Consider the following 13,490-nt stretch of genomic DNA (forward strand, 5'->3'; position numbering starts at 1 on the left):
GTGTCTCCAAAACTCTGAGAAAATAGATTTCTGGGTAATTTTTTAAAGGCACCTAGTTTGTGATATTTTATTAAGCCAGCCTAGGAAATGAATGTAGATACTATTTCAATAAACTCCCCAGATGTAAACAAGGCATAGTATTTGTTTAGGAAGATTTACTGTTTGTGGGGATTTGTTGGATAAGGGGCTATGTCTCCTGTCTTCCAGAAGACGTTAGGAGGGGCAGAAAAGTAAATATGAATCAGATAGTACAATGTTTAAGTAAAAAAATGTTTATGCTCTCCACAATAAAGCACATTTTTTCCATTTTAAGAGAACAATAGGGTGATTCTAGATAGAGAATTATATAGACACATAAACCTGGAGAATATGAGCCAGTGTTACAAGTGTAACAAGGGATGCTTTAACATCCAATAAGGTACTTTCAAACTTTACCAGAGCCACAGGCCTAAAAGACAAAGGAGGTCATTATGTTACCCAAACTCCTAAAACAATATTTGATTTGGGTCAAGGTAGTACAGGCACTCCAGACAGATGGGGGAGGAGGCAGGGAGAATTTTAAATAATCCCATAAGGAAACTCTTAAAGAAGTATAACATCCATCATTTTGTCAACAGTGATTTGGTTAAGTCTGAGATTTTAGAGCAGTTCAATAGAATTTTGAAATCTAAAATGTGGTGTTATTTAACTGCTTAGGGCACATTTTAATACATCGATATAATTCAGCACTTTATCACTAGTTACAACAACCAATCTGAAAAAAATATATATATATAAATGCCACAGCCACAAATTCTTTAGATGTTTAAGAGAAAAACCACAAAACCCCATTTTATTAAAAAAAAAAACAACTATGTCAAAAGTGGTTTCAAGAAACAAGTGAGATATATTTAGTAACAGAAAGTGGTAACCAGGAGTTAGCAACCAGTTTATAATTAAAATACCATGAGGATGCAAAGATTAGCTGTGTTTTTATCCAGAAGAACAAGAAACAATAACCCTTTGTCAAGAGCCAGTACACAGTATTGAAAAAGAAATTGTCCAAAGGGACAAGATTGGAATGAAATTATCATCAAATGATTGGGCTGACTTAAAAATATTAATAGTTGGAAGGTGTTGATGATTCAGGATTACTACATGGTAGAAGGTAGGTGAATGAAAATGTTTTCTATTTGAACTACCCAGCAATACTTCAGTATTACCTTTTACCTGCAGTTTAAGGATATATAAGTGGGATTTGACCATACTCAGGCCTCAGAAAGTAGAAAATTACCCCTGAAGAAGCTACCTTCTGGTATAAAAGGCTATGCCCTCTAGAGGAATAAATATAAGCTATCACCTAGATATATTCATATTTAGAAAATAACAGATTAGTTCAAGCTATCTCCTATGGTCTCTCAGAAATTTTTGTATACTGATTTTAGCTTGTCAAGAAAGTGGAAGATCTCATGAAACATTTTATTGCCAGAACTGGAAGTGGGTATATCACTTCTACCACATTACTTTGGCCAGAATCCAGTAACAAGAACATATTCTTATTGCAATTTTGGGAGCTAGTGTTGCTGTTTGCTACTGTTTGGTGATTTTTTTTTCTTTTAGGATTTTATAAATTATAAATTCTTTTCTAGGATTGTAGAAATTTTTTTTCTACAGGGCTTTTACTTCTTTTATTTTACATCTGTATCTCCTCTCTTCCACACTGAGAATCCTGGTTCTCAAGGTCACAGAAAATGATATATTTAGAATACAATTATTCATTTGCTTTATCCCATTTTATAATACAACAGTCTTAAAATAACACTATTAATAGCATAACTACTAATTATGATTACTGAATGTTAAACAAAAATAGTTTTGCATATGTTTTAGCTATTCTTCACCACTCCTCCAGTTAAAAAATATTCTCTACTCTTTCAGATCACATAGCTATTACGTACTATAATCTCTCCTTTTACCTTTTATTTCTTCTTACTTCTAAAGTAACTGTATTTTTAATGCTCTTTTCCAGTCCTTGGATTGCTCTGTCAAGTCATTTCGGATGTCTAAGTCTTGCTGTCTGGCAGATTACCTAGGAAGTGCTCATGGGAAAAATGGTTTCTGAGTTCATGCTCTACAGTTTGACTCTGCCATTTATACTTGAGATTAGTTTTGCATGATATAAAATCCTTGGCTAAAATTTTCTTTTGTTGAGTATCTTAAGAAAATTAAGACTATTTGATAATATTGATGTCCTTGTATAACATGTGCTATTTTCCTCTGGATTCCTAAAGAATTTTTTCTTTAAAGTCTAGTAATTTTTCTAGGATATGTATTGGTTCTGTTTTTTTCTGGATTGTTATTCTCAGAGAAGAGTGTGATCTTTTAATGTGCATTTCACAATGGTATTTTCAGCAAGTTTTAAATAATTGTTTTACTCCCTAGATTTTTTTGGGGGGGAGGGTGGGGACTCCTATATAGGTACATTGTATTTTCTTACCTTCAATCTTTGTCATTCTCTCTCAAATCCTTTTTGCTTCTTCATCTTGTGTTTGGTTTTTAAAAATCCCCCCTTTTATTATTCCTTATAAGGAATTATTTGTTGTGTTTGGGGAACATACGTGTGTGCACATATGTTTTGTTTTATATTTTTTCTGGTTTATTCATTAATTCTTTCTTTTGTGAGCTGTAATCAGCTCATTTCTGAATTTTTCTAATTCTGATTTATGTTGTTTTTAACGTCTCATATTGTTTTCTTAACATCATTTAGTTCATTTTAAAATGATTTGCATATGTTGAGTATGTCTTTCTAGTGTGGTTTCATTGTCTACAGGATTATTTTGTTTTTATAGCCATCTTTTCTTGTAGTTACTTGCATGGTATTTCACTTCAGTAGTTTTTCTGTGTTCATTTTTATGTGCATTTAAAAGAACCACATAGCATTTTTAGAATTGGAAAATACTTATCTGAAATGAAAAATATACTGAATAGTACTAACAGCAGAATAGATACTACAGAAGAAAAGACTGGTGAATGTGAAGACACAGCAATACAATCTATCCAAAATGAAACATAAAAATAGATTGAGAAAAAAACATCAACAGTGCTAGTGGCTTGTGGGAAAATTTCAAAAAGGCTCTGTTATGTGTAATTGGAGTCACAGGAAGAGATGGAGGAAAATATTTAAAGAAATGTTGGGTAAAAAATGTCCAAATTTGACAAAAGTAGAAACCTACATATTCAAGCAGCTCAATACCTCCCAAATAGAAGTATAAAGAAAACCACACCAAAACACATAATAATCATATTGCTGAAAACCAGTAATAAAGAAAAAAATTTTAATGCAGCGAAACAAGGCACATAACATACAGAGGAATAAAGCTAGGAATGACAGCAGACTTCTCAGAAACCATGCAGGGCAGAAGACAATGAAACAAAATATTTTTTTTGAAAAAAGTCAACCTACAATTTTACTTCTAGAGAAAATATCTTTCAAAACTTGAGGTGATATACTTTATCAGACTAAAAACTTGACAAATAGCATCATTAATAGGCTGCAGTACCAGAAATTGTAAAGAAAGAAATGCAAAAGAAAAATGGCACAAGATGGACACTTGAATGAGGAGCATGGGAAATAGATGGATCATTGATTTAAAAAGGGAGATTAGAAGAATTGCTGTTTCAACCTGCATCTGCATCATGTCTAATGGCGCCAAAAAAAAAAAAAAAGTAAAATTCAGACATAAGAGAGTCCTCTGACTCATGGAAGGAAGTAATCTACTCAAATAAACTGAGTATAATGTAAATAAGAAATAAAAAATATGAGAAAAGCTATATTTTCCTTGCCCCTATAGATGTTAATAAGTTATCTTATTGTGTCTCATGTAACAAAACCTTTTCAGATAAGTTATACTTTCATTTTGAGATCATAGTTTTATGAAAAAGAAATTGAATATTTAAACAGAGATAAGCTCCTTAAAGCCAAAAATTATTATGGCATTTGAAATTACAAGTGATAAAGCTACTGAAACATTTTACAGGATGAATTATTGTATAGCATTGGCTAGAGTGCAACAAAACACTAAGCCATACAAAATACTAAGCCATATACAGATTGCATTGTTGAATGCCTGCTGGATGAAAAGTCACTAAAAGTAATCATGAAAGCTCCATTTTCCAAACATAGTAACTTTTTGAATGAAAGATTTAATTACAAAAAGGAAGACTGGATTGATGTCTACAGAATTGTAATGATTTTGCTGGACTTGCTCTTTTGCTTGTATTTGTCTAATATCAGCACCAAGTAATCATCAAAGATCTTTTATTTGAATATTTGGCATTAAATGCAAGTTGCACTAAAATATTAAAATGTTAAAAAAATATTTTGAACACCATAATTTATTTCAGAACTCCTGCGTTGACATTTGCATCAATGGTTCAAAAACAATAGTGAGTAAAACTGCTAGCATGAATCAAGTCATTGTATTTTTCCTTGAACATACATTTAAAAATGAAAAACAGTTTAATTTGAAAATGCCTTTTAAAAGCTTACTAAGATCTACTGGTCATGCACAGTGGCTAATGCCTGCAATCCCAACACTTTGGGAGGCTGATGGGGGAGGATTCCTTGAGGCCAGGAGTTCAAGACCAGCCTTGGCAACATAGCAAGACCCTGTCTCTAAAAAAAAATTAAAAAAAAAATAAAAGAAAGAAAAAAAAGAAATAGCCTGGTATGGTGTTCCACGCCTACAATTCCAGCTACTGAGGAGACTGAGGTGGGAGAATCACTTGAGCTCAGGAGTTTGAGGCTGCAGTGAGCCATGATTGTAGCACTGTACTCAAGCTTAGGGGACAGAATGAGACACAGAAAAATAAATACTCATTTTATTGAGTGTACATTCTTTTAACATTTTGTGTGAATGGGAAATATGAATAATACTGAAGTACAATATCTTTAGGAAAAGCATTTGTGTAATTCTTTGAGTTGCAATCTCAAATAGGGGCTTTTTTCATAGTTTTAGTTGGAACAATAAGTATGATTATTTATTCTGAGTATTTAAAAAAATTTTCTTGAACAGAAATGAAGTATATTACTGTAAGGAAAATAATGAAAATAACTTGATGATAGTGTTAAAAAATCAAACCACATCTAACTCTTCTCTTTAGAGATCTAGATTTGCCAGACCTGAAATTTACACCATGCGTGTGTATGTGTGTAGAGGGGAGGATGGTGGTGGTGGTTCATATTTAAGAAAAAGAATACAAAATAAATACAAAATTAGGTTTAAAGTGAGTATTTATTTAGAATGAGAAAACATCAGTGAGGTAATTCAGATACCTTTCTTCTGAGGTCTCCTTAGGCAATTTAACCAGGCATGTTTACACAGAAATGCTTCTGACTGAAACCTGGCTTCCACTCTGTACCTAGGACTCATTACTATTCCCAGAAACTCCCTGCACTTACAGGGTCTCATGAAAGTGAGGGGAACTGAAACTTAAATTTTTATCAGGTGCAGAGTAAGTCACTCCAACTGTTTCCATTAGAATATGTTTCTCATGATATTATCTGATAGATGTAAATTTAACTAATGAAGTTTTTAAAACCTGTGAACTGCTGAATTTTTACAAACTGAAAACACCTGTATAACCAATATAATGCTCGAGAAGCAGAACTTGAATGGGATCCCAGAAACTCTTTGTGCACCCTCCACTCACTACATGCCTCCTGTATTGCCAAAGATAACTGCTATCCTTATTTCAAATTACCGATTTTGTACTTTATATAAATGGAATCATAAGGTATTCTATTGTGTCTGACTTTTTCTTAACATGTTGAGATTCATCCATATTTTATAGTGGTAGACCATTTTCATTGTATTGTATTCCACTGTGTGGAATTTTGGTGTCTTTATTAATGAACTTTAATGAACATTTGAATAGTCTTCAGTTTTTTGCTATTATGAATAGTGTTCTATGAACATTCTAATTTATGTCTGCTGGTAAATGAATGCATGCATTTTCTTGTGGATAAACACTTAGAAGTGGAATTGCTGAGCCATGGGGTATGAATATGTTCATCTTTAGTAGATACTGCCAAACAGCTGTCCAAAGTGGTTGTACCAATTCAGACTCCCACCAGCAATGTATGAGAGGTGTGATTGCTCCATATCTCTGTCTACTCTGTTACTGTCCATCTATTTCATTTTAGCCAGTTTGCTAGGTACACCGTAGTATTACATTATGGTTTTAATTTACATTAGGCTGATAACTAAAGAGGTTGAGACTTGGATATCTTCTTTTTTGAAGTGACTTTAAAAATCTTTCACCTGTTGTTTACTTCCTGGACCCTCTAATTGGGCTTCTTATTAATTTGTATTAGTGTTTTATATAGTCTGAATAGATACCAGTCCTTTGTCAAATATATGTATTGGAAATACTTTCTTTCACTCTGTGAGTTGTCTAATCATTCTTTTAATGAATAAAGGTTAATACAGGCCAGTTGCTCATTTTAAAAATCTTTACGGTTAGAGTATTTTGTCTTTGCCTACATATAGTAAAGGATTGAGCTTGTTCAAAGCAAGCTATGGCCCTTACCCCTGGCAGGTAATCTGTAAACCCTTGGAATGTCCTGCTTCATGAGAGTAACTTTGTTTACCTGGATGCCTTAGGCCATGCCAGTTGTTAGTTCATTCTTGCACTGCTATAAAGAAATAACTGAGACTCAGTAATTTATAAAGATGAGAGATTTAATTGGCTTACGGTTCTGCAGGCTCTACAAGAAGCATGATGCTGACATCTGCTCAGCTTCTGGTGAAGCCTCAGGGAGATTTCAATCATGGTAGAAGGAGAAGAGGGAACAGAACTATCACAGGGGAACACAGGAGCAAGCAAGCGAGAGTGGGGGTGGGGAGTGCCACACACTTTTAAATGACCAGATCTTGCGAGAACTATCGCGAAGACAGCACCTAGCCATGAGGGATCTGCCCCCTTGACTAAACACCTCCCATCAGGCTCACCTCCAGCACTGAGGATTACAATTCAACATGAGATTTGGGTAGGGACAAATACTCAAACTGCATCACCAGTTTATGCTAACACTGTTATTTATGGTTGGGACCTTGGGTCATGTGGTATCACATTGACCTCTGGAGAGGCTGGCAACTCCAAGGTCAGCAATGTGAGAAGTGAGCCATAATTACGCCATTGATACCCTCCCCACTCCCACCTCCAGTCCTCTAAAAACAATGGACACCAAGGCTTGGTTGAGCTTCCCTGGTTCCATTGCCACAAGGTTCCATTACATCTTTGCTATAAGTAAGCACTGTCCACACAACTCCACTGGGAGAAGACAACTGGAAGCTCTGTCTGGTCTCTCCTGGACCTTGCCCTATGTGCTTCCTTCTATTTAATTTTAATCTATAAGCTTTTGATATAGCAAACTATGAGTATAATAACTCTGCTGAGTTCTGTTTGTCTAGTGAATTACTAAACCTGAGGGGGGTTTTGGGGAACTGCTGCCTATCAAAGGTCATGCAAATGTCCTCTTGTTTTAAGGCTTTGTTTTTATGCACATTTGGTTACGCCACCACTCTAGAATCACTCTTTGTGCACAGTGTGGTATGTGAATTACTAGTCAAGATACATTTTTTTCCTATGTGACATTCACTTCACCTTGCATCATTCATTGAAAAGACCACCTTTTCTCACTGCATTGATGTCACTTTTGCCATAAGTCAGCTGATCTGTATGTTTTTATATTATTTTCTATTCTGTTCCATTAGTTCATCTCACTGTTTTGAACAAATATGTCTCAATTACTAATTCTTTATGATGGTACTTCGAATCCATTGAATCCTCCAGCTTTGCTCTCCTTCAAAATTGGCTTGGCTATTTGTGGCCTTTTGTATATCTACGTGAACTTTAAGCTTGTCTTTTTTTTTTTTTTTTTTTTTTTTTTAGACCAAGTCATGCTTTGTCACCCAGGCTGGAGTGCATGGCGCAATTCTGGCTCACTGCAATCTCTGCCTCCCAGGGTCAAGCAATCGTTCCACATCAGCCTCCTGAGTAGCTGGGACTACAGGCAGGTGCCACTACCCCTTGCTATTTTATTTTTTTTTCTAGATACTGCGTCTCACTATGTTGCCCAAGCTGGTCTTGAACTCCTGAGCTCAAGTGATCTGCCCACCTCGGCCTCCCAAAGTGCTGGGATTACAGGTGTGAGCCATTGTGCCCAGCCAGCTTGTCAATATATGTATTTTAATTTGCTGGAATTTTGATGAGGGTTATATTGAATTATAAATTAACATTTTTACATCTGTTATCTTTACAGTATTAAATCCAGTAATCCTTGAACACATTATATACTTTTATTTATTTAGATATTTAATTTCGCTCAATATTGACTTGTAGTTTTCAGTGTAGAGACGTACATCCTTCCTTCAATTTATGCCTAGGTATTTGAAAGGTTTAAAAATGATGCTATTATAATTTATATAACATTTGTATGGAAAACCCAAAAGAAACTACTGCAGTAGTTAATGGTGATGACTATTAGCAATTTTCCTAATTGCAAAGACAATATTAAAAAAGCAATTTTATTTCTATATGCCAACAATAGAAAAATTATAAAAAACATAGGCTAATGTTTTATTTGAAAAATATTTTTCTTTTAATACTGACTTAGAAAAATCTGTGGAATCTGAAAGTAATTTTTTCTTTGAGGTAGGGTCTTGCTCTGTCACCTAGAGTACGGTGGTAGGAACATGGCTCACTTGCAGTCTCGACCTCCTGAGCTCAAGTGATCCTCCCATCTCAACCTCCCAAGTTGCTGGGACTACTGGTGCGCGCCATCATGCCTGGCTAGTGTGTGTGTGTGAGTGTGTGTGTGTGTGTATTTATTGTTGAGACAGGGTTTCATCACATTGCCCAGGCTGGTCTTAAACTCCTGGGCTCAAGTGATCTGCCTGCTTTGGCCTCCCAAAGAGCTGGGATTATAGGCATCAGGCACCATGACTGGAGGAAAGTAATTTTTAAAATAATTATTTTCTTAGAATTTTCCCTGAAATGTCCTTTGCAATCTATTTCCAGTGTTATGTGGAAAAACAATGTAAAAATGCAATTCATTGGTAGTCATTTTGGTAGGATGATACATTCCAAAAAAATGGATAGACATACACGTTAACTATCGAATGATGTAATGATTTTTACAGAGTTTAACATTCCTTTTAGAACTCCAATAACTGTATTTATTTAACCTGCATACTGATGACTGCAATTAGGGGTCACTTTATCTTAGAATAATTAAATATATCATGATATCCTAGTTTAATCCATTAAATTGTTACTTTCAGTTTGCCAACAAGTTCTTATGGTCTGGTTATCTTATGATTAAATCAGCACAAAATATATTTCACTTATTTATAATTTTTCAAGTTTTATTTTCTAAGTAGCAGGCAAATTCTTCAAGGAAACCTAATTATAACAAAACAGTATGTCATATTTCTATTTCATTTGATGTAATTTAAATTTTAATTCCTGATTTGTCAAAAAATAATTAGAACTTTACCATTTCCCAAATATAAAAGAAAAATGTCCTGGATATCAATCTACAGAAAGGCATGAAGCTGCAAAGGACAGAGGAGAAGGTGATGATGTGTCAAATCAGATAGACCAGTGTATCAATTATAGTTCAAAGATGGAGACTCTCTTGGGTGAACCCATAATTCTACTGGCCATACTCCTTGATTAGACTACACTGGATAATAAGACATCTCTATAGTTAGTTCCCCAAAATTAGATATCTTAATTATTTGCCTATAGAGTTTTATAAGTCCTTTTGTAAGAAGAAAACAAAATGGACATTTCTGGACTATATCATTTTGAACATTAAATACACATTATATTTGATACCCAAGTGTAACACTTACCTGGCCTCTCTCTCCCAGCTGTGGCTGACCTTTAAAACTGGCACGGCCATTAGATTGAAGACTATAGCAGGTCTTTTACCTATACAAGTGGTTTCTACAAAAGGAGCCTGGTAAAGAAAACTGAGTCAGAAAGAAGGTGGCACTTTTGTTATCCGGATGAATGCTTTTGCTCTGAACAGGCAGTTGCTGTTCTCCAAGATCTCTGGCATGCTTGCCCAGAGAGAAGAGCTGTGTAGCCTCCATCATCCATAGAGGTGGCAGGAACACCATTTGCACAAGTCAGAATGAGGAAAGGTAGGAGACTTAGGATGTGAGGCTTGAGAGAAAAACAGTTGACAAAGCAGCAGCAAAATTCTCCTAGTGTACACAGCCTATTCTCCTGAGGGGAGTCATATAAGTGCAAATATAACATCTATAGCTACAGGAATTTTTTGTTTGTGCTCTTTTAATATTTATTTTATCTATTTGTCACAAACATGTAATGAATGTTGGTATGCATGTATCTGCCTCCTCCACTGGACTCTGAGAAACCACACACCCAGAATCTTGTACATGGTTGGAACTAAATAAACCACACTGTTAGAATGCATGCCAATCTTTAAAATAGACTATTGTAATGTTAATTTATACCTACATACATGACTTAATTTTCAAAAGATCTTAACAAGTGGGTACATAAGTCCCCTCTCAGTGATGTGTTAATTTTTTAAATATTTGTAAATATTGTGTTCTGTGCTGAAACAAACTGGAAAAAAACAAGTTTTAAAAATGTACTGAGCAAAAGGAAAATGTGCCTCTCTATTAACCTAGTCAATGTGGAAAACTATAACACTGCATAATATTTTGAATTAATATAAATCATGAATTATAATGTTACAGTTGCATTTGGGCTAATTTGTATTATTCTGACAAGGTCAGAAAATTATGTGATTCAATTATTTCAAGCAAAATCATGGTTTTAGTATGTATGTTTGACAATTCTATTTTTACAACCAATGAAGCCAACTGTTTGATACAGAATCTGTCCTAGAAAATACCTATGTAGAGAGTTATGGATTTAAAATACAATAAGATGTTTTAAAAATTCGGTTAAAATGCTAAACAGATTAAAAAAAAAACCCTTTAACAAAACTGGTCCTTAAGGTACCTCTCCTAACACACATAAATCAGGTAATTGAAACATAAATGGACACTGAAGAATATGGACACGTGAACTGTACTTGCATCTTCCTCATCCTTTTCCTCTCAGTCTCCCTCATCTCAGTACATGGTGCTAGGATCTGAATGGTTGTGTCAGTTGCACCCCCACCCCCTTGTGCCATAATTCATATGTTGAGCCCTAATCCTCAATGTGATGGTATCTGGAGGTGGGTCCTTTGGGAGGTGACTTGTATTCTTATAAAAGAGACCCCAGAGTGATTCCCTTGTCCCTTCTGCCATGCGAAGACACAGCAGAAACATTTATGAATGAGGAAAACACCCAACACAAAATTTGCAAGCACTTTGATCATGGACTTGCCCCCAAAACTGTGAGAAAGAAATTTCTGTTGTTTATAAGCCACTAGTCTAAGATATTTTTGTTCCAGCAGCCCCAAAGGGCTTAGACAAATGGTAATTCTTACAATAGTTTAAGACAAAAACCATGCCATAATACCTGATGCTTGCCTTTCTCTCACATTAAAATCTTGAGTAAACTTTGTTAGCTCTACGTTCACAATATATCCAGAATGTGCTAGCTTTTTTTTTTTTTTTTTTTTAACCAGCTAATACCCATCATTTCTAGTTTGGATTATTACAATAATACTGAAAGTGTTTATTCCTTCAATTGTTAATCCACCTACTACTGGAACAAACCACTTAAACCAGACACTGTTCTGGGTTCTTTAGTATACAGGAAATTATCTTTTTGGACTTTACAAAACGAATACCTCTTATCCACCCTGAATCTTACTATAGTGCACTGTCTCAGGACATGACTGCCAGAGCACTGAATATAGTCAATATGATAAAATAATTCTAATACCCAAGTAAAAAAATCATTTTCCAGGATGGGCTTCCAATGCTTTGCTTCTAAATCCAACTAACTTGGAAAACCTAATTGGTATGTCATTCAGAATATTCTGATGATAGATCACTATCGGTAAATGATTCTAGTCAAAAGGAATAAAAAGAAATGAATGAAATTGCTATATAAACATTCTTTTTATTTTTAAACATAAATGAAGATGTTTTGGCCCTTACATCTCTAAAAGCGAAGAAGAGAGAAAACTGATGTTAGACTTCGTCTGATTCTAGCAATAAATAATATTTGTTCATGGAAACCTAATTTTAAAAAAATGCCCAAGCTAATTAAGAAATACATTTCAATAAAATGTTACTTTTTATATTTATTCAAATTGGGATATTTGTTATTTTGATCAGCTGAACACTAATTATAGTTGTAATCATACAAAAAATTCCTATGTTAGCATTTAGGAGATTATGATCACAGGATATACACAAAATTTAAATACAGTTGTCTGTTGGTATATACCTGGGATTGGTTCCAGGACCCCCGGTATACCAAAATCCTCTCATACACAAGTTCTGCAGCTAGTCCTGCAGAACCTGCTTACAGTAAAAGTCAGCTGTCCTTGGGTTTCATATACAGCATATACTATATTTTTGATCCTCATTTGGTTGAAAAAAATCTATGTATGAGTACAATTCAAACCTGTGTTGTTCAAGGGACAACGGTATACACATATTTTTTGCTGCAGGAAAGGATAACCAATAAGGCTTATGCCTAAAACCGTACTATATAGAATTCTTGTTAGTCAGGGTTTCTCAACAGCACACTATTGAGATGTTGAGTGGGTTAATTTCTTGTTGTTGGGGGTTGTCTTTTGCAATGTAGGATATTTTGCAGCATCCTTGGCATGTTCCCACTAGACAACAGTAGTACCCCACTCCCTAGTTTATGAAATCAAAAATGTCTCCAGACATTGCCAACTGGCCCCTGGGAGGCAACAGTCCCTTGCTGAGAACCACTGCAGTAGAGAATAGAATAGTAATACAATGTAAAACTTTGACTATCAAAATGGATGTTAGTATCAAACTACTATGGTATTTAATTCCATCTGATAATATTTAAAACAGTGATAGTTACTGTAAAATGACATTTTACAATGCACTGGAAATTACATTATTTGCCATTACTTAAAATAATGGTCAAGAACTTTAAATGATCCACTGGTTGAAAGCATCCTGTAGTTTATAGGAAAGGTGAGTAATGCACATTAACCTTCACTTAGAGTTTTTTTTTTTGGAAACGGAGTTTTTGCTCTGTCGCCAAGGCTGGAGTGCAGTGGCGCCATCTCGGCTCACTGCAGCCTCCGCTTCCTGGGTTCAAGCAATTCTCCAGCCTCAGCCTCCCGAGTAGGTGGGACTACAGGCGTGCGCCGCCATGCCTGGCTAATTTTTGTATTTTTAGTAGAGACAGGGTTTCACCGTGTTGGCCAGGATGGTCTTGATCTCCTGACCTCGTGATCCGCCTGCCTCGGCCTCCCAAAGTGCTGGGATTACGGGGGTGAGCCACCGTGCCTGGCC

Source organism: Homo sapiens, chromosome 3 (genome assembly GCF_000001405.40).
Source record: "Homo sapiens chromosome 3, GRCh38.p14 Primary Assembly".
NCBI classification, from domain to species: Eukaryota; Metazoa; Chordata; class Mammalia; order Primates; family Hominidae; genus Homo; species Homo sapiens.